The sequence below is a fragment of the Homo sapiens genome, chromosome 1 (genome assembly GCF_000001405.40).
Source record: "Homo sapiens chromosome 1, GRCh38.p14 Primary Assembly".
NCBI classification, from domain to species: Eukaryota; Metazoa; Chordata; class Mammalia; order Primates; family Hominidae; genus Homo; species Homo sapiens.
Genome location: NC_000001.11, coordinates 151,148,033 through 151,176,030, shown reverse-complemented (window position 1 = coordinate 151,176,030; position 27,998 = coordinate 151,148,033). Strand labels below are relative to the sequence as shown.

General features: G+C 48.0%; 5 protein-coding genes across 16 annotated transcripts, besides 5 other annotated features; 2 read left to right on the top strand and 3 right to left on the bottom strand.

Annotated features, from left to right (window-relative positions):
* The first annotated feature begins 49 nt into the window (after nt 1-49).
* TMOD4 (tropomodulin 4) lies at nt 50-6,044 on the top strand. Of its 4 annotated transcripts, none has more exons than XM_011509449.2 (10): nt 50-79; nt 1,114-1,278; nt 1,484-1,640; nt 2,416-2,532; nt 3,674-3,763; nt 4,268-4,398; nt 4,491-4,598; nt 4,968-5,111; nt 5,368-5,512; nt 5,928-6,044. In XM_011509449.2, exons 2-10 carry the CDS (start codon nt 1,156-1,158, stop codon nt 5,948-5,950), a joined length of 1,038 nt encoding a protein of 345 aa, XP_011507751.1. In that variant the 5' UTR covers nt 50-79; nt 1,114-1,155; the 3' UTR covers nt 5,951-6,044. The 4 variants fall into 4 exon arrangements, with proteins under 4 accessions (XP_011507751.1, NP_037485.2, XP_047274628.1 ...); NM_013353.3 differs by having other exon boundaries at nt 50-107; XM_047418672.1 differs by having other exon boundaries at nt 50-1,278.
* On the bottom strand, nt 5,735-9,887 carry SCNM1 (sodium channel modifier 1). 3 transcript variants are annotated; one of them, NR_037937.2, is made up of 7 exons: nt 9,828-9,887; nt 9,490-9,560; nt 9,009-9,097; nt 8,813-8,910; nt 8,617-8,705; nt 7,693-7,837; nt 5,735-7,045 (listed from the first exon to the last, which is right to left on the bottom strand). NR_037937.2 is itself a non-coding variant. In NM_001204856.2 (7 exons), exons 2-7 carry the CDS (start codon nt 9,504-9,506, stop codon nt 6,946-6,948), a joined length of 588 nt encoding a protein of 195 aa, NP_001191785.1. In that variant the 5' UTR covers nt 9,507-9,560; nt 9,779-9,887; the 3' UTR covers nt 5,735-6,945. The 3 variants fall into 3 exon arrangements, 2 of the variants coding, with proteins under 2 accessions (NP_001191785.1, NP_076946.1); NM_001204856.2 differs by having other exon boundaries at nt 7,693-7,887; nt 9,779-9,887; NM_024041.4 differs by having other exon boundaries at nt 7,693-7,887.
* TNFAIP8L2-SCNM1 (TNFAIP8L2-SCNM1 readthrough) lies at nt 5,735-19,382 on the bottom strand. 2 transcript variants are annotated; one of them, NR_144937.2, is made up of 7 exons: nt 19,309-19,382; nt 9,490-9,560; nt 9,009-9,097; nt 8,813-8,910; nt 8,617-8,705; nt 7,693-7,882; nt 5,735-7,045 (listed from the first exon to the last, which is right to left on the bottom strand). NR_144937.2 is itself a non-coding variant. In NM_001204848.2 (7 exons), the coding sequence occupies exons 2-7, from the start codon at nt 9,504-9,506 to the stop codon at nt 6,946-6,948; spliced, it is 588 nt and encodes a 195-aa protein (NP_001191777.1). In that variant the 5' UTR covers nt 9,507-9,560; nt 19,309-19,382; the 3' UTR covers nt 5,735-6,945. The 2 variants fall into 2 exon arrangements, 1 of the variants encoding a protein (NP_001191777.1); NM_001204848.2 differs by having other exon boundaries at nt 7,693-7,887.
* Nucleotides 9,235-9,941: an enhancer, noted in NCBI's record as "H3K27ac-H3K4me1 hESC enhancer chr1:151138566-151139272 (GRCh37/hg19 assembly coordinates)". NCBI's record gives its function as "activates a minimal SCP1, AML or CMV promoter by ChIP-STARR-seq in primed H9 embryonic stem cells {active_cell/tissue: H9 hESC(primed)}" and the evidence as "EXISTENCE:reporter gene assay evidence [ECO:0000049][PMID:30033119]".
* Nucleotides 9,839-9,888: an enhancer, noted in NCBI's record as "active region_1709". NCBI's record gives its function as "activates an Ori minimal core promoter by ATAC-STARR-seq in GM12878 lymphoblastoid cells {active_cell/tissue: GM12878}" and the evidence as "EXISTENCE:reporter gene assay evidence [ECO:0000049][PMID:35858748]".
* Nucleotides 9,909-10,188: an enhancer, noted in NCBI's record as "active region_1708". NCBI's record gives its function as "activates an Ori minimal core promoter by ATAC-STARR-seq in GM12878 lymphoblastoid cells {active_cell/tissue: GM12878}" and the evidence as "EXISTENCE:reporter gene assay evidence [ECO:0000049][PMID:35858748]".
* Nucleotides 9,909-10,647: a biological region, named in NCBI's record as "H3K27ac hESC enhancer GRCh37_chr1:151137860-151138565".
* Nucleotides 9,942-10,647: an enhancer, noted in NCBI's record as "H3K27ac hESC enhancer chr1:151137860-151138565 (GRCh37/hg19 assembly coordinates)". NCBI's record gives its function as "activates a minimal SCP1, AML or CMV promoter by ChIP-STARR-seq in naive and primed H9 embryonic stem cells {active_cell/tissue: H9 hESC(naive and primed)}" and the evidence as "EXISTENCE:reporter gene assay evidence [ECO:0000049][PMID:30033119]".
* Nucleotides 10,129-27,535, top strand: LYSMD1 (LysM domain containing 1). Of its 6 annotated transcripts, XM_047420115.1 has the most exons (6): nt 10,129-10,952; nt 13,931-14,295; nt 15,011-15,216; nt 18,648-18,853; nt 19,615-19,686; nt 25,927-27,535. In XM_047420115.1, the coding sequence occupies exons 1-3, from the start codon at nt 10,773-10,775 to the stop codon at nt 15,147-15,149; spliced, it is 684 nt and encodes a 227-aa protein (XP_047276071.1). In that variant the 5' UTR covers nt 10,129-10,772; the 3' UTR covers nt 15,150-15,216; nt 18,648-18,853; nt 19,615-19,686; nt 25,927-27,535. The 6 variants fall into 6 exon arrangements, with proteins under 6 accessions (XP_047276071.1, XP_047276061.1, XP_047276068.1 ...); XM_047420105.1 differs by lacking the exon at nt 18,648-18,853; XM_047420112.1 differs by lacking the exons at nt 18,648-18,853; nt 19,615-19,686.
* TNFAIP8L2 (TNF alpha induced protein 8 like 2) lies at nt 16,282-19,382 on the bottom strand. Its single transcript, NM_024575.5, has 2 exons — nt 19,309-19,382; nt 16,282-17,365 (listed from the first exon to the last, which is right to left on the bottom strand). Exon 2 carries the CDS (start codon nt 17,331-17,333, stop codon nt 16,779-16,781), a length of 555 nt encoding a protein of 184 aa, NP_078851.2. The 5' UTR covers nt 17,334-17,365; nt 19,309-19,382; the 3' UTR covers nt 16,282-16,778.

Genomic DNA, 27,998 nt, shown 5'->3' with positions numbered 1-27,998 from the left:
CCTCTCCCCCGGCACCGGGCTCCTCCTGCTGCTGGGACAGTGCTCTAGTAGAACAGACAGACCTACTGACACAGGGGAGGTGAGAAGGGAGGTGACCACCAGGACTGGTAGGTGGGGAAGACAGGGGGCTTATGGATGAGAGCCCGGTGGGAGATGGGAGGAGAAGAGTGGCTCCTATGGGGAATGATGTGGAGTGTGTCCCTGTCTCTGTCACTCAGTGTATATTTCTGCCACTGTGCCGTCCTACCCCTTAACTGTGTATAGTTTACATTGTCGATGTGTCTCACATACTTTCTGGATCTTTCATATTCAGCATGGTGTGTATGCATAGCTCCTTATGCGTATCTTATATTGTACAAAATTGTGCGAGTTTAATATTCCCACTGTTTTTAAAGAAACTTTACCCTATTTACACCCATTGGTCTGGTGTCACCTTCCTGTCCAAAGCAAGGGACAGATTATGGGGACTCACAGAGGCCTTACTACCCTTCCCCCAACCTGGAAGTCCCCCAACTGCTCCGAGCCCTTGCTTTCCCTTAAGACTTCAAATTTTAGCAAACACAGAAAGTGAAATCTTGATCCCCCACAATAAAAGGGAAATGAGGATGGGGTAAGAGACTCTCTCTTCCCCTTACACCTCATTGTCCTTGGTTTTTTTATCCGGTTTAGGAAAAAGCCTGGATTATGAGGAGGAGAGGAGGAATTTCCCTGAAGCTCTCTATTCCCCCACCCCTCATCCCCTTTCAATAGGAACTGGGCATAGGACCAGCTGTGTTGGCAGGGCTTCCAGCAGCTGTGTTAGGGCGAAGGCACTGACAAGTGAGGTTATAGGGGAGGGGTGCTGCCAGGATTTCTCTGTCATACCGTGGGAAGACAAACCCAGCTTAGATGTCTGGGATCCCCATCCAGAGTGGCTGGAAGCTGGGGAAGCAGAAAGGAGACTCTAGTTCTAACTCTAAACAACCTAATCTTCCCCACTTCCCATCCTCAACTAGACTTCTAATCTCCAAGAAATCCAATCCAATGTTCTGCCCCCCTGGCTGGTCTCTTTGTGTCCCTGCTGTGTCCCTGTCCATCTTACCATTGTCCATCCTTTTGTCCCATGTTGCCCAGGCTCTGTGAGTACCACACAGTGGGGAGGGGGTGGGGGCCACCATGTCATCATATCAGAAGGAACTGGAGAAATACAGAGACATAGATGAAGATGAGATCCTAAGGACCTTGAGCCCCGAGGAGCTAGAGCAGCTGGACTGCGAACTACAGGAGATGGATCCTGAGGTAGGGGCTCCAGCACAGGGAACCAGAGGCAGTCCCAGGCATTTGGGAAGGGTGTTGGGCTCTGGGTGGCTGAGAATAGGGTTTGCTACAGGACCTAGGGTCCTAAGAAGGCCAGGGGAAAGGTGTCCGGTGATGTTTTAGGGAGCCCTAGCAGTACCTAGGTCAGAGGGGAGGTCTGACTTGCTCCCCAAAACTCATCCCTAAGAACATGCTCCTGCCAGCTGGACTAAGACAACGTGACCAGACAAAGAAGAGCCCAACGGGGCCACTGGACCGAGAGGCCCTTTTGCAGTACTTGGAGCAACAGGCACTAGAAGTCAAAGAGCGTGATGACTTGGTGCCCTTCACAGGCGAGAAGAAGGGTATGGGGACCCTGACATCCATGCCTCGTAGAACCCAAGTGGCTGTGCTGTCTCTCACTCGTCCCCACTCCAGTTTCCCTCTCACCTTCCAGCTCCTAGTTGCCTAGGGACTCAGATGCCCTGACACTTAAATGCGAGCTTGCACTCTTCAGTTCTTTTTTTTTTCTTTTTGTTTGAGACGGAGTCTCACTCTGTTGCCCAGGCTGGAGTGCAGTGGTGCAGTCTCGGCTCACTGCAAGCTCCACCTCCCGGGTTCACGCCATTCTCCTGCCTCAGCCCCCCGAGTAGCTGGGACTACAGGCGCCCACCACCACGCCCGGCTAATTTTTTAGTATTTTTAGTAGAGATGGGGTTTCACTGTGTTAGCCAGGATGGTCTCGATCTCCTGACCTCGTGATCTGCCCGCCTTAGCCTCCCAAAGTGCTGGGATTACAGGCATGAGCCACCGTGCCCGGCCGCTAATTTTTTGTATTTTTAGTAGAGATGGGGTTTCACCATGTTAGCCAGGATGGTCTCGATCTCCTGACCTCATGATCCACCCGCCTCGGCCTCCCCAAGTGCTGGGATTACAGGCGTGAGCCACAGCGCCCAGCCCCGCACTCTTCAGTTCTTGAGAGATCAGGGGGCTAAGGACTCTTGAGTTTGTAGAGGACTCAGGCTTTCCAGTGTCCCTTCGTGACGCAGCATTCTACCTCCTGGAGGAGGAAGGAAACCTGGAGGCCAGGATCTTGGGAGAAATTACCTCTACCTGAGCCATCCTTCATCTCCCCATCAGGGAAACCCTATATTCAGCCCAAGAGGGAAATCCCAGCAGAGGAGCAGATCACCCTGGAGCCTGAGCTGGAGGAGGCACTGGCACATGCCACAGATGCTGAAATGTGTGACATTGCAGGTGGGTAGCTGTGGGAAGTTGAGGGTGAGAGGATCAGGGGCAGGTGGATTCTAGCCATGACATGGGACTAGTGAGGAAGGCCCTCAACCAGAATGTGGATGTCTAAGAAAGCGTCAAGCAGTAGTTTCAAGCTTTTCTTGTTTGTTTATATATTTATTCATTTTTAAATTTAATAACACCTCAAGAGCAATTTTACAGGGATTGTAAGAGCAAATAAAAGTGGAATCATTGGGCCAGGCACCATGACTCACACCTGTAACCTCAGCACTTGGGAGGCCTGAGTGCACTTGGGAGCACTCAGGATTGCCTGAGCTCGGGAGTTCAAGACCAGCCTGGGCAACATAGTGAAACCCCGTCTCTACTAAAATACAAAAAACTGGCCGGGTGCGGTGGCTCACACCTGTAATCCCAACACTTTGGGAGGCCGAGGCGGGTGGATCACGAGGTCAGGAGATCGAGAACATCCTGGCTAACACGGTGAAACCCCGTCACTACTAAAAATACAAAAAATTAGCTGGGTGTGGTGGTGGGCGCCTGTAGTCCCAGCTACTCGGGAGGCTGAGGCAGGAGAATGGTGTGAACCCAGGAGGCCGAGCTTGCAGTGAGCCAAGATAGTGCCACTGCACTCCAGCCTGGGCAACAGAGCGAGACTCCGTCTCAAAAAACAAAAAACAAAAACAAAAACAACAACAAAAAAAATTAGCCAGGCATGGCAGCATGCACCTGTAATCCCAGTTACTTGGGAGGCTGAGGCAGAAGAATTGCTTGAACCCGGGAGGTGGAGGTGGCAGTGAGCCAAGATCGCACCACTGCACTCCAGCCTGGGGGACAGAGTGAGACTCCGTCTCGGGGGGAAAAAAAGTGGAACCATTCTGGCTGAAAGAGGAGAGTCTCTACAGACTCCTTTATCCTCTAGTGGCTCATAAGGGACCTTCCCTTAGCCCTTTCTCAATGTTTTAGAAACTACTGCCTTAAGAAGTTTATGGAAAGGACCCCTGGGGCTGAAAGAGGGTGGGAAACTTCTTTGGCAAAGTGTAAGTGGTCAGGCTTTACAAATGCAACAGATTCAGAAATAGGTAGGAGGGAGGCTTGGAACAGGTTCCTTCTCATTCCCTGTGACTCCTCTTCTTACCCTCTCCAGCAATTCTGGACATGTACACACTGATGAGTAACAAGCAATACTATGATGCCCTCTGCAGTGGAGAAATCTGCAACACTGAAGGCATTAGCAGTGAGTGTGTTTGGGGAGCATGGTCCCCAGGGCTCTGGGCAGGCAGTCCTAGTGTCTGGGAGAAGGTAGAAAAGGGTGAAATTGATGATTCTGGGAGAGGACATGCTGCATGAGTGATAAGAAAACCTGTGGAGTGCCAGGTGAGGTGGCTCATGCCTGTAATCCCAGCATTTAGGGAGGCCGAGGCAGGTGGATCACCTGAGGTCAGGAGTTCAAGACCAGCCTGGCCAACATAGTGAAACCTTGTCTCTACTAAAACTACAAAAATTAGCTGGTTGCATGCCTGTAATCCCAGATATTATACTTGGGAAGCAGAGGCACAAGAATTTCTTGAACCCGGGAGGTCAAGGCTGCTGTGAGTTGAGATTGTGCCACTGCATTCCAGCCTAGGTGGATAGAGCGAGACTCCATCTCAAAAAAAAAAAAAAAGAAAAGAAAAGAAAACCAATGGGGAGGAGATTATGGGGAACATGTTGGGGTTCCCTTCCTGCCCTCATTCACCAGGTGTGGTACAGCCTGACAAGTATAAGCCAGTGCCGGATGAACCCCCAAATCCCACAAACATTGAGGAGATACTAAAGAGGGTCCGAAGCAATGACAAGGAGCTGGAGGAGGTGAACTTGAATAATATACAGGTATTTGACTTGCATCCTCCAAACCATAACACCGGATAACCACTGACATCCGAGAGTCCCTTAGCCCACCATCTCCTATTCCCCTCCGATAGGACATCCCAATACCCATGCTAAGTGAGCTGTGTGAGGCAATGAAGGCAAATACCTATGTGCGGAGCTTCAGTCTGGTAGCCACGAGGAGTGGTGACCCCATTGCCAATGTAAGGCTAGTTGACATCCCCAGCCCTCTCCCCACATCTTACATGCACCTGTTGCATGGCTGTCATAAAGGGTTTTGCTAGGGAGTGCTATTCTCATCATGCCTTCTTAGGGCAGCCCTCATGGAGACTCCTACCTTCAGTGCTATGGCTCATAACTCTCTACTCTCTCTAACACCCCTAGTCCCACTGCACATTCATCTCCCTGCTTTCCCCTGCTATCCGCCCTGCTTTCTGTATCCCTCTAGCTCCATTTACAGCACCTGAAAGACTCTTCTCAAAGAGCTGTGTTTCCCTCTTGCTCCTGTTCTTTCTTTCCTCAGTCATCTGTGAAACTGTTCCCTAATCCTAACCCAAGTCCCTACTACCCAGGCAGTGGCTGACATGTTGCGTGAGAATCGTAGCCTCCAGAGCCTAAACATCGAATCCAACTTCATTAGCAGCACAGGACTCATGGCTGTGCTGAAGGCAGTTCGGGAAAATGCCACACTCACTGAGCTCCGTGTAGACAATCAGGTCAGCATTCCCTTCCCCTGATGTTAGCATTCAGTCTCATTGAGTCTCCTCCCTGAGCCAGCCAGTGGGGCAGCTATCTTACTTAATCTTGCTTGAATTCTCCTCTTCATTGTCTCTGTGAGGGAAGCCAAGTCAGCATCTCTCTTCACCCACTGTGGAGAAACAAGCTTCTTTGACCTCCCAAAGGGGTCTGTGATGTGGGATGGTAAACAGCCCAGAGAGGGTGACTGTCAGCTTTTGCCTCTCCCTCCCCCAGCGCCAGTGGCCTGGTGATGCAGTGGAGATGGAGATGGCCACCGTGCTAGAGCAGTGTCCCTCTATTGTCCGCTTTGGCTACCACTTTACACAGCAGGGGCCACGAGCTCGGGCAGCCCAGGCCATGACCCGAAACAATGAACTACGTGAGTAACTGCAGACATGATGTGTGGAGTGGTCAGGGAAGTGCAGAAATTGGTGGATCCTCCTGAAAGCAGACCTAATGACTAACAGCCCAGGGTGCTACCAAAGAGCTATTCATATGAGAATTTCAAATCCCAAGAGTGATCAGAAAGTAAACAGAAAACTCCCCCTGCCCCAAATATGGACCAGTAGAGAGGTAGAAAGGATGCCAGAGATAATCATACTTGTTTAGAGGTATCGTAATTTTATTTGTGGTGTGGTTTCTTGTTTTGTTTTGTTAATGTGGGATGGGCCTGTAAGGTGGCCTAAGACACTACCAATTTATGAGTTTGGCTAAGGGACTGGAAAGGAGAAGAGTGCCTTTGCAGAAAGCAGGAGCTGGAACAAACACTTATGTTTAATATTGCTCCTTTACAGGTCGCCAGCAAAAGAAGAGATAACACTGCATTTCCCTTTACCAACTAGCGCTGGGAGCACTGGACACTTAAATCCTCATCTGTCCTCCTTTCCTGTAAATAAAAGCCCTTCTATCCATTTTGCCTGCCTCCTTCCTTGGGCTTTGGGGTGAGAATCTTGGCGCTAACCCCCAAGGGTTACTGCCAGTTCACCAGGGGATTATTTATACTCTGGGGATCAGCAGGCAGGGAGGTTCAGGTTACTAGGAGGAGGTGGGGGTGTTCCCTCCCTTGGTGTTCCCCATAACCCTGCCAATGCCTTTTGACTCTTCTACTTTCACAGGGAACTTAGCCACAGCCCTGTTTCCAGATGTGGCCAGGTCCCCCTAGTGCCTACCTGCAGTCCTTATGTGATTTGAAGGGGGAAAGGACTTTGAGTGGTAGTGGAGAAGCAGGCAGACAACATGAAGGGCAAAGACCTCTTTTTGACAGTCTTATTAATAGGGCACCAGGCTGATGCAGCTGACGCTTGGCATGGCTTTGGTAGGAGGTGGGGGAGGGGTTAGAAGTATGGATAGCCGTGGCTGGGTGCGGTGGCTCATGCCTGTAATCCCAGCACTTTGGGAGGCCGAGGTGGGCGGATCACGAGGTCAGGAGATCGAGACCATCCTGGCTAACACAGTGAAACCCCGTCTCTACTAAAAATACAAAAAATTAGCTGGGCATGGTGGCGGGCGCCTGTAGTCCCAGCTACTCAGGAGGCTGAGGCAGGAGAAAGGCGTGAACCTGGGAGGCAGAGCTTGCAGTGAGCCGAGATCGTGCCACTGCACTCCAGCCTGGGCGATAGAGCGAGACTCTGCCTCAAAAAAAAAAAAAAAAAAAAAAGGAGTGTGGAGAGCTGTGTACCTTGCAGGCAAGGAGTAGTTGGAATGAGAATGAACAGATCTGAAATCCTGAGATCCAACAAGGAACCAGACTTAAGGAAAGTTAAGTTCTCAGCACCCATTGTAATTTATTTGTGAATGAATGGGAAAAGGGTATCAGTCCAAGGGGAGATCAGGTGGTTCCTCCTCATCAGAGTCAAACTCAACATTTTCATCTTTTACCCATCGACCTCGTCCATCTGGGATCCATCCAGAGCTGGAAACATCAGAGAAAATAGCATCGATCAGGAAAGAGGCTTATTAAGAAGTTAGTGGTGAGCTCACACCAGTAATCCCAGCACTCTGGGAGGCCGAGGCAGGTGGATCACTTGAGGTCAGGAGTTCGAGACCAGCCTGACCAACATAGTGAAACCCTGTCTCTACCAAAAAAAAAAAAAAAAAAAAAAAAAAAGTTAGCAGTGAGAAAAAATTGAGAGCCATGTAAGTTGGGTGGCTAAAACAAAACGAAACCAAAGATGGAAAACAACAATGGGAGTCCGGGTGCGGTGGCTCACACCTGTAATCCCAACACTTTAGGAAACTGAGGCAGGTGGATCACCTGAGGTCAGGAGTTCGAGGCCAGCCTGACCAACATGGAGAAACCCCGTCTCTACTAAAAATACAAAATTAGCCGGGCGTGATGGCACATGCCTGTAATCCCAGCTACTCGGGAGCCTGAGGCAGGAGAATCGCTTGAACCCAGGAGGTGGAGGTTACAGTGAGCCGAGAGCGTGCCATTGCACTCCAGCTGGGGCAACAAGAGTGAAACTCCATCTCAAAAAAAAAAAAAGGAAAAACAATAGCTTTGAAACAAGGGTGTCAGAGAGAAAAGAAAATCTGAGGAAACTGATTAGGCATACTCACCTTCGAAGGGTGAGATAATGGTCCAGGGCTCGTCTTCTTGTGGGGCTCATGGGTGCAGGGGCTGAGACAGTTGCTGACTCCTCGGCCTGTGGGCCAGCCGCAGGTTCAGGTTCCCTACTGATCTTCCCACTTTGGAGTTTGACCTCTGAGGGTGGCATAGGGGAAAGGGAGACAGAGGGACCAGGGGCTTCTGGTCTAGGTAGAGAAGAATAGTCTGTAAAAGCAGTAAGGGAAAGGGCCAACTCTCCTATGACTCCCAACCTCTTAAAACAGTGCTTCTTAAACTATATTTCTCAAGATATTAATAAGTTCTGCATACAAAGGATTTCAGAATCATGAATTTGGGAAAGGCTAGCTTAAAATTTTACAAGTTTTTTTTAATCTTAAGACTTTGTATAGTTTTTAAAACTGTTATTCTTCAAGTAGAATTACAAAGTGCCATTTCCCAAACTTTATTTAAAAATCACAAAATTCTCCTTTTCTTTTTCTTTCTTTTCTTTTTTTTTTGAGATGGAGTCTCACTCTGTCACCCAGGCTGGAGTGAAGTGGTGTGACCGTGGCTCACTGCAACCTCTGTCTCCCGGATTCAAGCAATTCTCCTGCCTCAGCCTCTTGAGTAGCTGGGATTACAGGCACACACCACACACCCAGCTAATTTTTTACATTTTTGGTAGAGACAGGATTTCACCATGTTGGCCAGGCTGGTCTTGAACTCCTGACCTCAAGTGATCCACCCACCTCAGCCTCCAAAAGTGCTGGGATTACAGGCGTGAGTCACCGCGCCCAGCCAAAATTCTCCTTTTCTTGAAACACTAAGTAACATCTCCAGAACACTAGTATTCCTCAGAATACACACTGGAAAACTCTTTTAGAGCCATCTGTCTCCTTCTGAGCCTTCCTACCTCTGGCTTTCCCGTCCCATACCTGTACTTCCGGCGGCAGCAACTGTTATAGTGGGGAGCTCTGTGCAGAGCACTCTGGGTGATAAGTCGTGTCTGAGTTAGCAGAGGAGCCTGGTAAGGAGATGGGAGACAGAGTCAGAGCCTTCAGCCCTCCGCCCTTCCAGCCTGGTGTGTGCAGCAGGGTCTTGCCTAGAACACACTCTCCACTCTCTGATTACCTCAGCTTTGGTTTCTTCCCTTCTCAATTCATTCTGATGTTTTGGATTCTGCTTTCTTTCCTTTCCCGGCTGCTTCTTGCCATAGAAAAGCTGCAAGCCTGAGGAGAAAGGGAAACAGAATTAAAAGCATAGCACCAAGAGTGGTGTGCAGAGATTTCGAGGGTTTATTCCCCATCCCGTCTTCCCCCTAACTTACTGGACAGATGTTTCTTGCCTGCACGGTGGGCAGTCAGCATGGCCAGGGTGTCCAGTACCGGTCGATGGGGGCAGATGGCACAAGCAAAGCTGAGCAGGGGTAGAGAAGAGGATAAGTGGTCCAGGGGAAGAGGGTTGGGCCCGTCCCTGCCATAGGTCCCACCCTGTCCTAGCAGTCTTTGCAAAACCCAACTCCCTGGTGACCCAATCTCCACTTCTTCCAGTCCTCACTGGCCGCCAAAGAATCCTAGGTACTCCTGCTGTCCTAATTAATAACAAAAGTTTGTTGAAGCCAGGCGTGGTGGCATGCGCTTGTAAACCCAGCTAATCGCGACGCTGAGGAGGCAGGATCACTTGAGCCCTAGAGTTCGAGGGCAGCCTGGGCAGCACCGCGAGACCTCCGTCTCAAAGGAAAAAAAAAAAAAAGTCTATTGAGCCTCTAACCGCAGAACCCTCAGGCTTGAGCCACTCCTTGCTCTTACCGTCCATCCCGAAGCATCAGCGCCTCATCCTCTGGAATGTAACTGGCTAGGAGGTCCCCGACTCTTCTTTTCTGCAGGGAGTAGGGGAAGAAATCCGGACGGGATCAGCGGGATAGGAGAGAGGGGTGGAAGTGAAATTATAGAAATGAGGAGTGAAATGGAATAAGGACCCTGGGGAGAACAGCGATCATAGACCGAAAAAGGAGTCACTACACAGCTCTAAGTCGCCTGGTTCTCTCCTGCACCCCCGAGTTGTTGCCAGAGCAATGAAACAAAGCTCCTTCCCAACCTTCAGGGAGCGACTGAAGCGGCTCCAGATCCTCTCCGCTCACGCTTACTTTGAGCACATTGAGTTGACTCCAATCGTCTCCTTCCCTCTTGAAAGACATCACGACTGTGAGTCCCAGAAGTGATAAATTCTCTGTTCCGGTTTCGCCACTCCTCCAGGCCACCGTAGCAAGAGCGGGACAGCGCCTTCTCTTTTTTCCTTCTCTTCCTGTCGGCCTCCGTACTTCCGGGGACGCACTTCCACGCATGCATTGCGCGATCCGGAAATCCACTCTCTGGTGCTCGGAGGGAACTGCATTTCCTATGGTGCCCTGCGACTCCGCAGACGCGGAGCCTTTTGGGAAATGAAGTCTTTTCTCAAAGACCTTGCCGCTCAACTGGATCCAGGCCCTTGCATCTTGGCGGATCTGAGGCGTTTGGAGGGACAACAACCTAGATGTGGAGCCGAAATTTGAGGGTGTGACCTATCTTATGCGGAGCGGACCTTTGAGGATCTCTGAGTGGAAGGTGTACTACAAATTCTTGCAATCCTCACGCTCTTCGTCTGCGGCGACAGTTCACCTGGGGTGGGCCTGATTTGTTCCTGACTCTAGCAAACAAACCCCGGGACCGGGGAGAGCTGGGATGTTGGAGCGCCCTGAGGCCAGGCTACTTGGGGGCAAACTGAGGAAAGAGTGTTGAGGATTATTTCTAGAGTTCAAAGGTCAGAGGTCAATGTAGCGAGGAGTTGTGGGGGAGTCCAAAGTCGGAGGGGTGCTTAGGGGAGAATTAGGGAGGGACTGAATACTCAAGGGACAGATTTGTGGATAAGTAGCTTGGAGGGAGGAGAAACCGGGAGGGGGCAGATGGCGTAGTGCTGGGGAGGCGGGGACACAGGGGAAGAGAGAGGGGGAAAGGAATCCCCTGAATATTCATTCCCAGACTTCAGGCCTGTCAGTCGCAGTCTCGGTCGTACCTCCCCTAGTTGCAACCTTAGCTGTTGGCAGGGTGAAGAGATGGCTTCCCCGTCTAGACAGCCCCCGCCAGGGGGGTCAGGACTGCTTCAAGGGAGCCGGGCTCGTTCATATGGAAGCCTGGTGCAATCGGCCTGCTCCCCAGTGAGGGAAAGACGCCTGGAGCATCAGTTGGAGCCCGGAGACACCCTGGCTGGACTAGCACTCAAATATGGGGTGACGGTGAGTTTTCCAGGATTGGGGTGAAGACAACAGTCAGGAGGGATTTAGTCCTGAGAAGAATGTAGTGGCCCTTCTAGGTAACCTCCCCTGAAATGTTCCTAATGTGTTGCACTCTGTTCTGCCTTTATCTTTGTTTTCCCATCACAGTGTTGCACAAGTCCTGCCCTACTATTCCAACGGAGAGGAACAGCTCCTATTTTATTATGCCAGACACTGTGCTGAGGGCTTCACATACGTTAGCTCATTTCACCCTCACATCTGTATCAAGTATACATTTATCGTTCCCTTTTGGCAGATGAAGAAACTGAGACTTGGATTGGTTAACCAGTTTGGCTAAGGTCAAATAATGAGCGTCAGATTTGGGATTCAAACAGGTCTGTCTGACTCTATTAACCACACAGAAAATTTTATGTTGAGAGTGATTAAACGTTTACAGCAACTAATGGAGAGCTGATTTTTAGTTCTCAGTTCCTAAAGTGCCCACCTCTCCTTGCTCTTGGTTCCTCCTCAATGCTCTGCCTTCTTTCCAGTAAGGTGGCCTCCTTTGTGCAAAACAGGTACTCTACACCAAGTATTTCAGGTCATGCATGGGGGAAATTGGATAGATGTAAAAATGTACAGCATTGAAGTTGATGGGGTTACTCCCCCTATCCCTGCCCCTGTTTTCTTGTTCCATCTCACTCAAACAAATGTTGAATTTAGCCAACATTTTTATGCTTGCTGTATTTAAAGCACTGTGATAACTTTTCTGGGAGATAGAAACTTAAACTATATGGTTGCTGTCCTCATGTAATTTATGGCCTAATGAGAAATGAACAGGGACACAAATAATGATTACAAGTGACAGAATGTGGTGAGTTTGTAAAGGTATTAACAACGAATAGGGGTCAGGCATGGTGGCTCACCCCTGTAATCCCAGCACTTTGGGAGGCAGAGGCAAGTGGATCACCTAAGGTTACGAGTACGAGACCAGTCTGGCCAACATGGTGAAACCCTGTCTCTACTAAAAATACAAAAATTAGCCGGGCGTGGTGGTGCTCACCTGTAATCCCAGCTACTCAGGAGGCTGAGGCGGGAGAATCGCTTGAACCCAGGAGGGGGAGGTTGCGATGAGCTGAGATCGCACCACTGCACTCCAGCACTCCAGCCTGGGCAACAGAGTGAGACACACACACACACACACACACACACACACACACAAAGATAGGAAATCAGAAAAGATTAAATTTCAGTTGGAAAGGGGCTGTGGTGGGCCAGGCGTGGTGGCTCATGCCTGTAATCCCAGCACTTTGGGAGGCTGAGGTGGGTGGATTGCTTGAGCTCGGGAGTACAGGACCATTCTGGGCAATGTGGTGAAACCCCATCTCTACAACAAATACAAAAATTAGCCGGGCATGGTGGCATGTGCCTGTAATCCCACCTACTGGGGAGGCTGAGGCAGAGGATCACTTGAGCTGGGGAAGCGGAGGTTTCAGTGAGCCGAGATCGCGCCACTACACTCCAGGCTGGGCGACAGAGTGAGACCTTGTCTCCAAAAAAAGAAAGAAAGAAAGAAAGAAAATACGAATACACTATATCTGTAGTTTCTATATTTCATTATCTAATTATGATAATAATTACATAATTATAAGTAATAGTTTTTAAATAAAGCATTAATGAGCCCCTGCTATGTGTCAAGGTCTGTAGGATGCTAATGACTTCCTGGGGATACAGAGACAGCAAGTCACAATCCTTGCCCTTAAAGGACTTATAGGGTTTAGGCAAAGCAGATATTTAAAGAGGTGAATAATATTATAGTAGGGTTATGTATTATTATAGCAATATTTACAGTATGCATTGGGAGCCCTGAAGAAGGTAGCACAAAGGGAGTGATAGTTGATGAATACAAGTTTTCCAAGCAGAGAATGGGATAGTAGGGGGGTGGGAGCATTTCAGGCAGAAGTAACAGCATGAATAAAGTGTGAAAAAGATCATGGAATGTTCAAAGAAAAATAAAAAGTTCAGGATAGCAAAATGTAGAGGTGGCAGAGGGAGATTAATCTAGACATTTCCTTTGGGAGCTGGATTGAGAAAGCCCTTGAATGCTAATTTGGTTTTTATCTTTTAGCCAGTGCGGAGCCATAGGTGGGTAGTGGGTTAATCAGATTTATTTTTTTAGAAAGATAGATGCCAAGAGGAGGATGAGTAGAAATAGAGCGAGGAAGGCCAGTTAAACTGTTGCAATAACCCCAGATGAGAAATACTGAGGGTCTATTTTAAATCTTTGGCAGTAGGAAGGTGAGACCAGATGTGAGAGAGATTTTTGAAGCAGTTTTGTTGACCACTTGGTATGGTGATGAAAGGCAAGTATTAGTTAAGGATGACATTGATGTTTCTACCTTGGGAGGCCAGGCAGATAGATGGTGATGCCAGTCACTATGTCCAGTGATGAATAAATAGGTCAAAATAAATATTTATTAATGACATTGTTAATAGTATAGTGTGAAAAGCATTCTCAGAAGCAGTGAAAAGACCCAGGATTGTCATTCTAGCTCTGTCATTAACTTGATAGATAATTTTAGGAAAGTAGCTTAACCTCTCTGAGCCTCAGTTCCTTCATTTTTATTTATTCATTAATTTATTTATTCATTTATTTTTAATTTTTTAATTTTTAGAAATGGCGTCTCACTATATTACTCAGGCTGGACTCTAATTCCCGGGCTCAAGCTATCCTCCCTCCTCAGCCTCCTGAGTAGCTGGAATTATAGGCATCAGACATTGCGCCTGGCTTGCACAATAATTTTTTAAAATGTAAGGGGGCCCTAAGACCAAAAAGTGTGAAAACCACTCATCTATAGAATAGAAATAATGTCAGCCCTTTGTACTTTAGCTTGGTTGTTATGGAATCAAAGAAGACTCTGTACAGTCACTTTAAAAAGCTCAAGATGTAAGATTGATCATTATTACTGTCCTTAATTTTGGTGACTTTTTTTTTTAAGATGGAACAGATTAAACGTGCAAACCGCCTTTATACTAATGACTCCATCTTCCTGAAGAAAACCCTCTACATCCCCATCCTGACAGAGCCCAGAGACCTGTTCAATGGTTTGGACTCTGAGGAAGAGAAAGATGGAGAGGAAAAAGTACACCCAAGTAACAGTGAAGTTTGGCCACACTCAACTGAGAGGAAGAAACAAGAGACAGGAGCAGGACGTGCCAATGGTGAAGTCCTCCCCACACCTGGCCAGGAAACCCCCACGCCCATCCATGACCTCTCTGCCTCTGATTTCCTTAAGAAGCTTGATTCACAGATCAGCCTGTCCAAGAAGGCTGCTGCTCAGAAGCTGAAAAAAGGGGAAAATGGGTGAGTCTTGAATGGTTCCTTATAAGTTCCTCCCTAGACTCCTCCATCATTCCTGTCTTACCTAACCACAAACACAAGTAAGTAAGGACAGTGCCAACAGAGGCAAGGTGATACCTTTCCCCCATGTGGCCCCAAGATAATGAGCAGAGGTGATGGCTGCTGGCCTGGGTAGAGGCAGTGGAAAACTGGGTTCTGTGTTCTTATTGGAGTCAGACAGTTAACTATTTTTTTTTTTTTTTGAGACGGGGTCTTGCTCTGTTGCCCAGGCTGGAGTGCAGTGGCGCGATCTTGGCTCACTGCAAGCTCCGCCTCCCAGGTTCACGCCATTCTCCTGCCTCAGCCTCCCGAGTAGCTGGGACTACAGGCGCCCGCCACCACGCCCGGCTAATATTTTGTATTTTTAGTAGAGGCGGGGTTTCACCATGTTAGCCAGGATGATCTCAATCTCCTGACCTCGTGATCCGCCAGCCTCGGCCTCCCAAAGTGCTGGAATTACAGGCGTGAGCCACAGCGGCCAGCTGACAGTTAACTGTTTTTACTGCTCTGATCATCCATGAAGGAGCATTAGGGTTAGGATTTATCTAGAGGGTACTGAGACTGTCTTGAAGCAACCAGCTTATGTATTAGAAGATAGCTTTCCATGTACCTCTCACTTGGCCCATTGTCAGGTTCTTCCCTTGATCTGTCACTCTTTCCCCCCTTTCCTCAATTGCAGGGTACCTGGGGAGGATGCAGGTCTCCACCTGAGCTCCCCTTGGATGCAGCAACGAGCAGTCCTAGGTCCTGTGCCGCTGACCCGTACCTCTCGGACCCGGACACTACGGGACCAGGAGGATGAAATCTTCAAACTCTGATGTCCCCAGAACTGACTGAGAGAAGCAAGATGTTGAAAGAGAAACTTCAGGGGGAGAGGAGCCTGAGGTGAGGCTCAAGAACATGGCTTATGAGCCTGCCTCCCTCCACTCCAGCCATCCTCCCCAGCCTCCTTGTCTGCCAAAAATTCCTTGGCCTGGGGCAGTTTTATTGGCAAGATTAGGGAATGGGAACTGGACCTTTCCCAGTTCTTGGGCTGAATCTAGAGTTGAGTCCTTTAGACTCAAAAGGCTCTTTTTATATCCTTGTTGCCTTTCCTATCCTTTTTACCTTTCCCTGGCCTTAGAACAGGGAAGCAGAGACTCCCCCTCAGCTTCTTCCTCATCTCCAACTATGTGACATAATTTATTTGGTGCTAATATTGAAGTAATATTTATTTGCTATATTTTATTTCTTCCCACTCTTAGCTGAAAAATGGAATTTCTATAGCCCTGGGGTGAGGAGAACCCGGGAACAGTGAGCCAGTGACTGCTGGTTCTCCACTTTCCCCACCTTGTTAGCCAAACATGTTATTGAGGATGAGGCAATCGGTGATATAGCCCACCACAGAGAATGGATGACTGTTGGCCTTTTCTCCAATCTCAAAGTGACAGATTTGGGCTGATTCTTTTTTTTTTTTTTTTTGGTACCCCATTCCTGTTGAATGGGCTCAGTCTTGACAAACCAATTCCCTGTAACTTTTTCACAATTCTTGACTCTGAGAAAAAGCAGCACTGTAGGGACCTGAACTCTCCATTCTACCAGTTCACCCTTCTGACCTGTTCTGCTCAGCCTGTGGTGAGGGGAACAGATGGAAGAAGGCTTTCCTTGGGGTTTGAAGAGGAAGCCAGTTGTGGGAGTCTCTTTGTTACACCCCCTCCCCTCCAGACCCTCTCTCTCTATGCCTTCCTCCTCACTGCATATTTATTTGCGATTTGTAGCACTGATCTATGGTACAGTTGTTTTGTTTCTTAAACAGAAGTAGGTAAGGGAACCTCAGTAATAATGGAAATCTGCCTCAGTCTCCTGTTTGGAAATGATGAGAGGTGAGATAAGTAATGTTTATATACCTCCTTTCTTCTGTGATGATTATAAGGTATACGAAGCTGGACAGATTAAACATTGAGCCCTGTGCATATTTTAGTAGTTTTATTTCCCCTATGAGAATCTCCCCTGCCCTAGCCCCTTCTTCCTGCACTCTGGAACAGAGCCTCTGGCATCTGTCCAAGCTCTGTCTCTAAGGGCCACCTTCCCCTCTTCTGTCTTTAGTATCCCCAAAGGGGTTCTCTGGGCTGTGCCTCCTTTCCTTGGTTCACATGGGAGGGGGCTTCCCTGTTTCAGAAGTCCCTTATGGGAGAAATAGAGATCCAAGTTTCACTTCACCTTTTTCAGGCAGTTCTGTTTCCTGTCCTGGGGCTGGAGTGGGAGAGAGGCCTCACCCCTCAGCATTGCTCCTTCTCCACTAGCTGTTTGGGGGTGGGCTGGTCTCAGAGTCAAAAGCACTCTTGGGAAGGAATGAAGCCTGAAGATTGAAAAGTGTTAGTGCCAGGTGAGCAGGGTTAGGAAGCCCATTATCTGTGTTTTCTCAGTCAACCATTTTGTCAAGGTGGAATGTGCTAGGCTCAGGGCTCTCAGAGCTTCCCTTCGTCTAGCAGCTTCCTGAGTCCGTCACAGATCTTGCCAAGGTGCTGAGTGAAGTCAGGCCCATAGAGGGCCGTGAGCAGACCTGGGTCAGAGAAGTGATCAAACACGTGGCGGATGCGGCCATGTGACTTGGGCGTGAGGTGGTGTTCCACCAACTCTAGCAGCACATCCCGGCACTCGGTCAGCAGGCCAGCCAGAACAGCAGCCTCGAAGGTGAAGTCTACCTCACCAAAGCTAAGTGCCGTCATGGCACCCTGCCGCAGCTTCTGGCGAAAGCGGGTAGCCAGGGCCAGCTCACTGGGGCCAAAGGAGCCATTGCGGTGCAGCACAGCCACCTTGATGGCCACTTTGATCAGGTCCTTGATCACGCGCTGGGCCTGGGGCCGGCTGTGCGTGTACTCCTTGGACACACGGTAGAGCTCATCTAGCACCTCACTGCTTGTCTCATCTATGAAGAGATGAGCCACAGAGCGACCCGCCATCTTACTCAGTAGCTTCTTCTCTGCTTGCAGTGCCAGGCTCTTTGAGCTGAAGGACTCCATGGGTCCTGGAGAGTGGGGTATGTGGTCAGTCACTAGAAGAAAGGCCACAGGCTTCCTTAGAAAGAGAGAAATGGCTTTTCCCTTTTCTGTTGCTTCTTTAGTTTCCATGTCATCATCATCTTTGTTTGTCATCCTCTCCGCCCCCTGGGGCCCCTCAGTCCTCTATGCCTTGCTCCTGCCTGCTTTTTCCCCTTAGTGCTGTAGCAAATCTTGACTCCAAAACAGCCCACGGGAGTGGCGATAGCCCCGGCTGGAGGAATGTGGGCACACGGGAGGCTAGCCTAGCACAAGTTACATCTCAAGGGGAAGTAGGCTGTTGCTGCTGCAGTGAAGACAGGGCTTACCTGACAGATAATTCTTTTTTTTTTTTTTTTTGAGACGGAGTCTTGCTTTGTCACCCAGGCTGGAGTGCAGTGGTGTGATCTCTGTTCACTGCAACCTCCACCTCCCGGGTTCAAGCTATTCTCCTGCCTCAGCTTCCCAAGTAGTTGGGATTACAGGCACCCACCACCACGCCCGGCTAATTTTTGTATTTTTAGTAGAGACAGCGTTTCACCATGTTGGCCAGACTGGTCTCGAACTCCTGACCTCATGATCTGCCCACCTCGGCCTCCCAAAGTGCCGGGAATACAGGCGTGAGCCACCACGCCCAGCCTGACAGAATTCTTACAGCTACCATTTTTGGACACTGACTCTGTGCCATATGTCTGTGTGGCATAGATATTACCATCCTTGTTTTACAGCTAAGCAAATGATACTTACATTAAGTAATTTACCCAAGATCAAACGCAACTCATTTTTTGGCCCCCAAAGCCAGTGGCAGCTAGTGCACTATACTTCCTTTAAAGTAAGAAGCATAAGCATCCCAGGAATCCTAATAGGAGTAATAACTAACATTTACTGAGAACCTACTATATGCAAGTGCTTTACGTCAGTCATCTTAGCCTTCCCAATCCTGTGTAAGGTTAGGGTAGGTATCCCCATTTTGCAATGAGAAAACTGAAGCGAAGAGAAATATAGCAATTTGGCCAAAGTCACTAGTAAATTATAAAGATGGGCTTCAAACCAAATAATCCAGAGAAACCTCCTTCCCCGGAATGCTCCCAGTGTGGTTAAAGCACACTGAGGAAGCACGAGAAGCCAACACCTCAAGAAGGGCAGGCAGTCCTGAAGGTCTGAGCCTTCTGCTACACTGAACTCAGGACCCTCTTGGTGGCATATCAGCTCCATGTGTCCAGGGTTCTCTCCCCATGGTCTTCGCCTGTGGTTCTTCTGGTTGTTTTGCTTCTTACTTCCCCCTCCTCTGCTCTGCAGGATGTGGCTGTGACCGCAGTGAGGAGCAGCCTCGCCCTCTCCCCCAAACCAAAATGGGAGTCTGAAGAGGCAGAGGAGGTGGAGACTGTGGGGGTTTTTTTCCCCAGCTGAATCCTTCCAGTGGAAACCTGAACCTTGCTTTGCTCCCAGCTTGCCTTGGGGCTTTCTGGACCATGCTCCCCAGCCGGAAGAGGAGATTGCTCCATGTGAGCCTTCCTTCCTCCTTGGCCTTCCTGTTACCCAGCTCTCCATTGCCCCCATTGCCGTCTCACATTTATTCCGCTGTCTTCTCCCTCTCTCCCTGTTTCAGTCTCCCTTTTTCTCTTGTCTGGGTCCTCCCTATGATCCTCTGGCCTGGCCATACTCTCCCTCTGGCCCTTACCCATCTATCTCCTTGTTTCCTAAGATTTCCTTGCATTTCGCACACATCCATATGGATGTGGATCCACCTGCATCCCTCAGCCCTGCCCCCACCGCATCCAAAACCAGGTCTTTCAGAGGCTGCCTTGCCACCAGAAAAACTAAGCTAAGCTCTACAAAGGACCCAAGAATTGTACAAGCGAGAGTTTCACAATATGAAAAGCTAAGACTGAAAGAGCTAGAGATTCCTCTGCCACCATTACCCCTAAAGTCTACCATTCTGTCACTGCCGGTCCCTCACCTGCTGTGCTGGGTGCCAGTCTTGCCTTGGATGTTCCCGGAAAGCTTACAGAATGGAGAAGCTTCACTTAGTGTGAGAGCCCTTTGGCTTGGCCCCACCCCTTGAGCCCCGCCTACCTACTCTCTGCTTAACCTCCGGTTCATCACTTCTGTCACCAAGAAGGCCTATGGCCCAAGAGCAACCTAGAAATAAGACAAAGGTCAAAAAGAGTGGAATTCTGTTGGAAATAGTCTCAATTCTTTGAAGGGGGGAAAGGGATTTGCATCCTCCACTCTCAAATTGCTTCTTTCTTTTCTTGCTGCCCAGTTCCTGAAGATCCTGTCCTTACATTTCTACAGTACTGGGAAGGATGTAAAGCCCAAATTTCTGGGGTAGGAGGTCAGTGGGAAAAGTTCTGAAGATTGAAAGGTGGTGCTGTGGGGCAAGTATTTAATATATTATTCCAGTGATTGCCAGGTAAGAGCACAGACTGTCACAACCCTTAATACTGAAGGGAGGAAGGTGCTGGGACCAGGGCTGCTGCACCACAGGTGACCAGCAGGTGCCAGCACAGCACTGAATCACTAGCGTAGAGGAACAAGCCTACTGAGTTGCCTTTTTTTTTTTTTTTTTTTTTTTTTTTGAGACAGAGTTTTGCTCTTGTTGCCCAGGCTGGAGTGCAATGGGGTGATCTCGGCTCACTGCAACCTCTGCCTCCCGGGTTCAAGTGATTCTCCTGCCTCAACCTCCCAAGTAGCTGAAATTACAGGCCTGTGCCACCATGCCTGGCTTATTTTGTATTTTTAGTAGAGACGGTTTCACCATGTTGGCCAGGATCGTCTTGAACTCCTGACCTCAGGTGATCCACCTTGGCCTTCCAGAGTGCTGGGATTACAGGTGTGAGCCAACGCACCCCGCAGGGCCTACTGAGTAGGCTACTGTAGTAGCTACTTTGTAGCTGCTAAAGGGATACAAAATGAGGGGAAGCCACAATTGGGTTTTGTTTGTTTGTTTGTTGTTTTGTTTTTGAGATAGGGTCTCACTCTGTCGCCCAGGCCACAGTGCAGTGGCATCATCACAGCTGACTGCAGCCTTGACCTCCTGGGCTCAAGAGCTCTTCCTACTTCAGCCTCCCAAGTAGCTGGGACCAGAGGCTCACAAGCCTTCCTTTTTTTTGTAGAGAGGAGGGTCTAACTATGTTGCCCAGGCTGAACTTCTAAGCTCAAGCAATCCTCCTACCTTAGTCTCCCAAAGTGTTGGGATTACAGGCGTGAGCCACTGCACCCATCCTGGAAGTCACAGTTGTTGAATGAGACAAAAACACTTGCTATCAAGAATCTTATGGGGAATCTGGCGAGGGAAATAAGCTTAAACATAAAGAACAGTAATACTAGTCAAACAATGCCATTAACTTTAATGGAGATTTAAATAATTTTGAGAGTAAAGAAGCTTAATTATGATAGGGCTGAAGAGGTAGACTTGGAAAGATAGATTCAACTACTTAATAGCCAGAGATGGGGAAGAAGTCCCAGATGATGGGGACGGCATAAGCACATGCAGGAAAAAAACAAAATACAGGACGTTCTCAGGAAGTGGTGATTTATGTCTGGAATGTAAGTTGTTTGAGAGATAAGTGAAGAAGGAAAAAGATCAGATCATGGCAAACTTTAAAAAAGTTGCCCCAGGCCGGGCGCGGTGGCTCATGACTGTAATCCCAGCACTTTGGGAAGCCAAGGTGGGTGGATCACCTGAGGTCAGAAGTTTGAGACCAGCCTGGCCAACGTGGTGAAACCCTGTCTCGGCTGGGCATGGTGGCTCACACCTGTAATCCCAGCACTTTGGGACACCGAGGTGGGCGGATCACGAGGTTAGGAGATCAAGACCATCCTGGCTAACATGGTGAAACCCCATCTCTACTAAAAATACAAAAATTAGCTGGGCATGATGGCACATGCCTGTAGTCCCAGCTACTCGGGAAGCTGAGGCAGGAGATTCGCTTGAACCAGGGAGGCAGAGGTTGTAGTGAGCCGAGATCGCGCCTCTGCCCTCCAGCCTGGTGATAGAGTGAGACTCGGTCTCCAAAAAAAGAAAAGAAAAAAGAAAAAGAATAAAGGGAATAAAAATATAAGAAGATGCAAATACAATAATAACTTCTGGATTCAGAATTCTGCTACCTAGTCTTTACCTGTTTTCCTCTCCAGCTTCAGACTCCCCTCCCTCCCTCCCTTCCTTCCTCTCTCTCTCTCTTTCTTTCTTTTTTTTTTTGACAGAGTCTTGCTCTGTCCCTGTCACCCAGGCTGGAGTGCAGTGATGCGATTTCAGCTCACTGCAACCTCTGCCTCCCAGGTTCAAGTGATTCTCCTGCCTCAGCCTCCTGAGCAGCTGGGATTACACTGCCACCACACCTGACTAATTTTTGAATTTTTAGTAGAGACAGGGTTTCGCCATGTTGGCCAGGCTGGTCTCGAACTCCTGGCCTCAGGCTATCTGCCCATCTTGGCCTCCCAAAGTGCTGGGATTACAGGCATGAGCCATAGCGCCCGTCTGTAATTTGTGATTTTATTAACTGTCTACCCACTAAGCTCAGATTATCTTTTAGTGTCTACACAGTGCTTGGCACATACTGTGGTCAATAAATATGTGCTGAAAGAATAAAGTCAAAACATATCCAAGAACCAGGATATGAGGGGAAAATGGTAGTAACATAGGAGTCACATGTTATAATGTTCATTTACTTCATTCATGGGGAAGTCTTTTATTTTCTCTCTCATTTTTTTTTTTTTCTTCAATTGAGACAGAGTCTCACTCTGTCGCCCAGGGTGGAGTGCAGTGGTGCAATCTCGGCTCACTGCAACCTCTGCCTCCCGGGTTCAACTGATTCTCTGCCTCAGCCTCCTGAGTAGCTGGGATTTCAAGCACCCACTGCCATGCCTGGCTAATTTTTGTATTTTTAGTAGAGACGGGGTTTCTACCATCTTGGCCAGGCTGGTCTTGAACTCCTGACATCGTGATCCACCCACCTCAGCCTCCCAAAGTGCTGGGATTACAGGCATGAGCCACCACACCTGGCCAAGAACAATTTTTTTTTCGAGATGGAGTCTCGCTCTGTCACCCAGGCTGGAGTGCAGCGGCGTGATCTCGGCTCACTGCAACCTCCACCTCCCGGATTCAAGCAATTCTCCTGCCTTAGCCTCCCGAGTAGCTGGGATTACAGGCATGTGCCACCATGCCCAGCTAATTTTTTTGTATTTTAAGTAGAGATGGGGTTTCACCATATTGGCCAGGCTGGTCTCGAACTCCTGACCTTGTGATCCACCCACCTCGACCTCCCAAAGTGCTGGGATTACAGGCGTGAGCCACTGCGCCTGGCCACAAATTTTTTTTAGAGATAGGGTCTTGCTATCTTGCCCAGGCTGGAGTACAGTGGCTCACACTGCTCACTGCAGCCTTGGACTCCTGGACTCAAACAGACCTCCTGCCTCAATCTCCCAAAGTGCTGAGATTACAGGAGTGAGTCACTGTGTACCCTGGCCAAATGACGGTATCTTAAATGTGCAAAACACTTTTGAATTTGCAAAATGTTTCACCTACAGGATCTTATTTGATCCTAAGAAGTAGGCAGGAAGGTAGTATGTCCACTTACAGAAGACAGAATCAGACTTAGAGATAAGTAGTTTATCCAAAGCCATACTCCAGAGATGAATCTAGCTAAGTCTCAATGACTTTCAATGGTGCTCTTTCCACTGTATAATCTACAGGAAGTGAATAGTACTTTTTTGAGCAATTTCTACTTTGAAGCAAAATGAAGATATTTTGCACTTAATTGGATAAACTTCAGTTATTTGGAAAAGTATTCAGGATGGAACAGTCCGATGTTTGTTTTAGGTGAGGTTTTACCATGGTTAAGATCAATACTCTCATATCAGTTCAGAAAGAGTAAGTTTAGTGTGATTTAAAGCAGTCAAGTAAGTCAGCCTGACATAGCTGGAGATAGTTCACAGCTTTTACTCTTTTTTTGTTTGGGGTATTTATTTATTTATTTATGAGATCGAGTCTCACACTGTCGCCCAGGCTGGAGTGCAGTGGCATGATCTCGGCTCACTGCAACCTCTGCCTCCTGGGTTCAAGTGATTCTCCTGCCTCAGCCTCCCAAGTAGCTGGGATTACAGGCGCGCACCCCCACGCCCGGCTAATTTTTGTATTTTTAGTAGAGACGGGGTTTCACTATGTTGGCCAGGCTGGTCTTGAACTCCTGACCTCATGATTCGCCCAGCTCGGCCTCCCGAAGTGCTGGGATTACAGGTGTGAACCACCGTGCCTGTCCTATTTTTATTTATTTACTTTTTTGAGATGGAGTCTCACTCTGTCGCCCAGGCTGGAGTGCAGTGGCACGATCTCGGCTCACTGCAACCTCTGCCTCCCAGGTTCAAGCTATTCTCCTGCCTCAGCCTCCTGAGTAGCTGGGATTACAGGCGCGCGCTACCACGCCCAGCTAATTTTTTGTATTTTTAATCGACACGGGGTTTCACCATGTTAGCCAGGATGGTCTCGATCTCCTGACCTCATGATTCGCCTGCCTTGGCCTCCCAAAATGCTGGGATTACAGAAATGAGCCACCATACCTGGCTTGTTTTTTTTTTGTTTTTGTTTTTTGTTGTTGTTGTTGTTTTTCCTCTGAGCCATAGGATGTTTGTTTGTTTTTAATCTTTGATGCATTTATTTCTTCCTCTACTTACTGTATGCCAGGCATTACAATTAAGTGCTGGGGATAAAAAGATAAAAGACAAGCTTCCTGTCTTTTTTTTTTTTTTTTTAAGATGGAGTTTCGCTCTTGTTGCTCAGGCCAGAGTGCAATGGCGCGATCTTGCCTCATGGCAACCTCCACCTCCCGGGTTCAAGTGATTCTCCTGCCTCAGCCTCCTGAGTAGCTGGGACTACAGGCGCCCGCCACCATGCCCGGCTAATTTTGTATTTTTAGTAGAGACGGGGTTTCTCTATGTCGGTCAGGCTGGTCTTGAACTCCCAACCTTAGGTGATCTGCCCACCTTAGCCTCCCAAAGTGCTGGGATTATAGGTGTGAGCCACTGCGCCTGGCTACTTCCTGTCTTTAGACTAAGTGGTAAACATGAAAAATCCAAATGGAAGTATCCAATAAGCAATTGTATACATGAGTCTAGAACTCAGGAGAAAGACCTGAGTTGAACACCTAGATTTTATGGTAAGCAACATATAAACAGTTTATTGTGGCCGGGCGCAGTGGCTCACACCTGTAATCCCAGCACTTTGGGAGGCCCAGGCGGGCGGATCATGAGGTCAGAAGATCGAGACCATCCTGGCTAACACGGTGAAACCCTGTGTCTACTGAAAATACAAAAAAAAAAAAAAAATTAGCTGGGCATGGTGGCAGGTGCCTGTAGTCCCAGCTACTCTGGAGGCTGAGGCAGGAGAATGGTGTGAACCCGGGAGGCGGAACTTGCAGTGAGCCGAGTGAGCCACTGCACTCTAGCCTAGGTGACAGAGGGAGACTCATCTCAAAACAAAACAAAACAAAACAGTTTATTGTAACTGTTGGTTTTGTAACTGTTCTCATTGTCGGATTATCTTGACCAATGAGAATGGGTAGAGAAGAAAGAGGTGGCTAAGGACATGACCATAGGGAACACCAGCATTTAGAGAGGTCAGAGAAGGCTAAGAAAGGTCATATTAGGCTGGGTGTGGTGGCTCACACCTGTAATCCCAACACTTTGGAGGCTGAGGTGGGCAGATCGCTTGAGGTCAGGAGTTCGAGACCAGCCTGGCCAACATGGCGAAACCCTGTCTCTACTAAAAATATAAAAATTAGCTGGGCGTGGTGGTGGGCGCCTGTAATCCCAGCTACTCGGGAGGCTGAGATGGAGAAGCGCTTGAACCCAGGAGGTGGAGGTTGCAGTGAGTGAGCCAAGATTATGCTACTGCACTCCAGCCTGGGGCGACAGAGTGAGTCTCTGTCTCAAAAAAAAAAAAAAAAGAAAAGAAAAGAAAAGAAAAGCCATATTAATAGAAGTGAAACTATCCATTCATTAAAAATACATATTTATTAAGCCCCTAGTCTTTGTTAAGAGAAAGAGGGACCTCAGGAGCCAAAAGAAGAAAGCATTTCAAGGAGGGGGGAGTCAACAGGTCAAATGGCACAGAGAGGGCAAAAGGATAAAGACTGAAGAGTTGTTCATTGAATGTGACCAGGAGGTCGTTGGTGGCCTTAATGAGAGCAATCTCAGTGGACTGATGGGGACAAAAACTAAAATGATTGAGAATGAGAATCATGAAAATGGATATAGCAAGTATAGGTAACTCTAGAAGCTTAGTTATGAAGGGAAGAGAAATCGAGTGATGACTGGGTGCAGACAAGGATCAAGAGAAAGTTTGGAATGTTTTCCTTTTAATCATGGGAATTACTTGAGCATGTGTATATGCTAAGGGGAAAATATCAGTAGAAAAGGACAGGTTAAGACTGGGAATGGTGGCTGACGCCGGTAATCCCAGCAGTTCGAGAGGCCGAGGCAGGAGAATCACTTGAGCCTAGGAGTTCAAGACCAGCCTGGGCAACACAATGAGACTCTGCCTCTATTTTTTTTTTAAGTTAATACTTTCTGTGTGCAGGCACTATGCTACAAGGAAAGGATACAGTGTTGAGCAAGATAGACAACCAGGGACTGCATACAACTTACAGTAAAGTCATAGGTGAACCTTCGACAGGTGATACGGATGGCATTCACTAGGATGAGAGAGACATGATGCAGGTAAGTATATCTGTAGGGAGCAAAAAGTTGGTGGAATTCTCACTTTATTATCTCTGTTTTCTCTGAAGACGGATGAGGGTTTTCCTGAGATGAACAAGGAAATGGTAAGGAAAGGAACTTGCAAAAAAAGGAGGAAGTTTGAAATATCTCCCTGGGGATTGGAAGAGAGTGCTTTTCCAATCCAATCTGTGGGACTGTGTGATTTCCTTTTTTTGAGATGGAGTCTCGCTCTGTTGCCCAGGCTGGAGTGCAGTGGTGCGATCTCGGCTCACTGCAAGCTCCGCCTCCTGGGTTCAAGCAATTCTCCTGCCTCAGCCTCCCCAGTAGTTGGGACTACAGGCGCACACCGCCACGCCCGGCTAATTCTTTTTATTTTAGTAGAGACGGGGTTTCACTGTTGTTGCCCAGGCTGGTCTCGAACTCCTGAGCTCAGGCAATCCACCCGCCTCAGCCTCCCAAAGTGCTAGGATTACAGGCCTGAGTCACTGCGCCCGGCCAGGACTGTGTGATTTTCTTCAAAACACTAAGGGAGTAGGAAGAGAGGTTTTTTATTTTTATTTTTATTTTTTTAAGAGTCTCCCTCTGTGTCACCCAGGCTGGAGTGCAGTGGCACGATCTTGGCTCACTGCAATCTCCTGTCACCTGAGTTCAAGCAATTCCCCTGCCTCAGCCTCCTGAGTAGCTGGGATTGCAGGTGCCCATCACCACACCCGGCTAATTTTTTTTTGTATTTTTAGCAGAGCTGGAGTTTCTCCATGTTGGCCAGGCTGGTCTCAGAACTCCTGACCTCAGGTGATCTGCCCACTTCGGCCTCCCAAAGTGCTGGGATTACAGGGGTGAGCCACCTCGCCCAGCCAAGAGAGTCATTTTGATTTGTCCTTCAAAATAGCTCTCAGATTCATGTATTTCTTTCTAAATCTGTTCCCATCACCCTTGTCTGATTGTCCCTCTCCCCTCACCTTTAAACCTTGTTTACTTGCTAGTAGGTCTCTGTCTTCTTGCTTAAAAAAATAAAAAAATACAAGTTGCACCCTTTTTCAAGAATTTAAAATGACGTCCTACTCCTGTCAGATGATTTTAACCAGCTCACCTAGTCATTCCAGGCCTTCTGTAATTTGTCTTCCCCTTTTCCCTCCCCTTGCTCCTAACTAGTGCCTTTCCCACACACCAGCCTCACAGGACCTTTTTTTTATCCATGCTGCAGGCTCCTTGCTAACCAAGTAAAAGCTTTTGCTGAAGCTGTGTCCCTCGGGAACATTTTCTTCTTTTGCACCAAGCCAACTCCCACCAAAGTTTTCCTGTCCTTCATGATAAAATGTATCCAGCATCTTTCTGTGCAGTCTTCGGAGAATATTTATTGTCTTCTTTGCACATTTGGAAATTTATGTTCAATGTAGCTTTTCTTTTGAGACTTGGTGTTGTCTTTTTAATAGTTTAGTACTATTAAATATTTAATATTTAGTACTGTCTTTTTAATAGTTTAGACTTTTTAATAGTTTAGTATGTGCAAATCTTATTTTAATTCAAATATATTATCATTTTCTTAAAGTCTGGAACCACAACCCACAGTGGATTGTGTAGTAGATTGTGTCTCAAGTAAGTGTTTAATACTTACTGGATTGAACTGAGATTTGAGCTGGGTCCTAAAACTTTAAATGAATTACACCTTAATCCCCACTCACTAATCTATTCCATAAGCATGTATCTGAGTACCTAAACCCTGTGCTAGGAGCTGAGGAGATTTCTTTTAACCTCTCAGTGCCTCTGTATTTTGAGGTGTCTTTCTCTGAAAATTTCTTTCCAGCCTTTAAAACAACCCCAACTGTCTGACAGTTTGTTGAATTGCCTTGGACCCAAGATCCCTCGGCCGTTAATTCTGTGTAGATATTGTCCCTGTTTATCTTCTTCTATTTTTTTTAGATCTGACTTTAC

What these genes read in the sequence shown, in the direction of transcription:
- TMOD4 (XM_011509449.2), top strand. Translation starts at nt 1,156, where the DNA reads ATGTCATCATATCAGAAGGAACTGGAGAAATACAGAGACATAGATGAA. An exon ending in TACAGGAGATGGATCCTGAG is followed by an intron (nt 1,279 to 1,483) that starts GTAGGGGCTCCA and finishes CTCATCCCTAAG; the next exon opens with AACATGCTCCTGCCAGCTGG. An exon ending in CAACACTGAAGGCATTAGCA is followed by an intron (nt 3,764 to 4,267) that starts GTGAGTGTGTTT and finishes CTCATTCACCAG; the next exon opens with GTGTGGTACAGCCTGACAAG.
- TNFAIP8L2-SCNM1 (NM_001204848.2), bottom strand. An exon ending in GGGAAGAAACCAAAGCTGAG is followed by an intron (nt 8,706 to 8,812) that starts GTAATCAGAGAG and finishes TCTCCTTACCAG; the next exon opens with GCTCCTCTGCTAACTCAGAC. An exon ending in TGCTGCCGCCGGAAGTACAG is followed by an intron (nt 7,888 to 8,616) that starts GTATGGGACGGG and finishes TTCTCTACCTAG; the next exon opens with ACCAGAAGCCCCTGGTCCCT.
- SCNM1 (NM_024041.4), bottom strand. Translation starts at nt 9,878, where the DNA reads ATGTCTTTCAAGAGGGAAGGAGACGATTGGAGTCAACTCAATGTGCTC. An exon ending in CTGATGCTTCGGGATGGACG is followed by an intron (nt 9,098 to 9,489) that starts GTAAGAGCAAGG and finishes ACCCCTGCTCAG; the next exon opens with CTTTGCTTGTGCCATCTGCC. An exon ending in CATTATCTCACCCTTCGAAG is followed by an intron (nt 7,046 to 7,692) that starts GTGAGTATGCCT and finishes TGATGTTTCCAG; the next exon opens with CTCTGGATGGATCCCAGATG.
- LYSMD1 (XM_047420112.1), top strand. Translation starts at nt 10,773, where the DNA reads ATGGCTTCCCCGTCTAGACAGCCCCCGCCAGGGGGGTCAGGACTGCTT. An exon ending in CACTCAAATATGGGGTGACG is followed by an intron (nt 10,953 to 13,930) that starts GTGAGTTTTCCA and finishes TTTTTTTTTAAG; the next exon opens with ATGGAACAGATTAAACGTGC. An exon ending in CTGAAAAAAGGGGAAAATGG is followed by an intron (nt 14,296 to 15,010) that starts GTGAGTCTTGAA and finishes CCTCAATTGCAG; the next exon opens with GGTACCTGGGGAGGATGCAG.
- TNFAIP8L2 (NM_024575.5), bottom strand. Translation starts at nt 17,333, where the DNA reads ATGGAGTCCTTCAGCTCAAAGAGCCTGGCACTGCAAGCAGAGAAGAAG.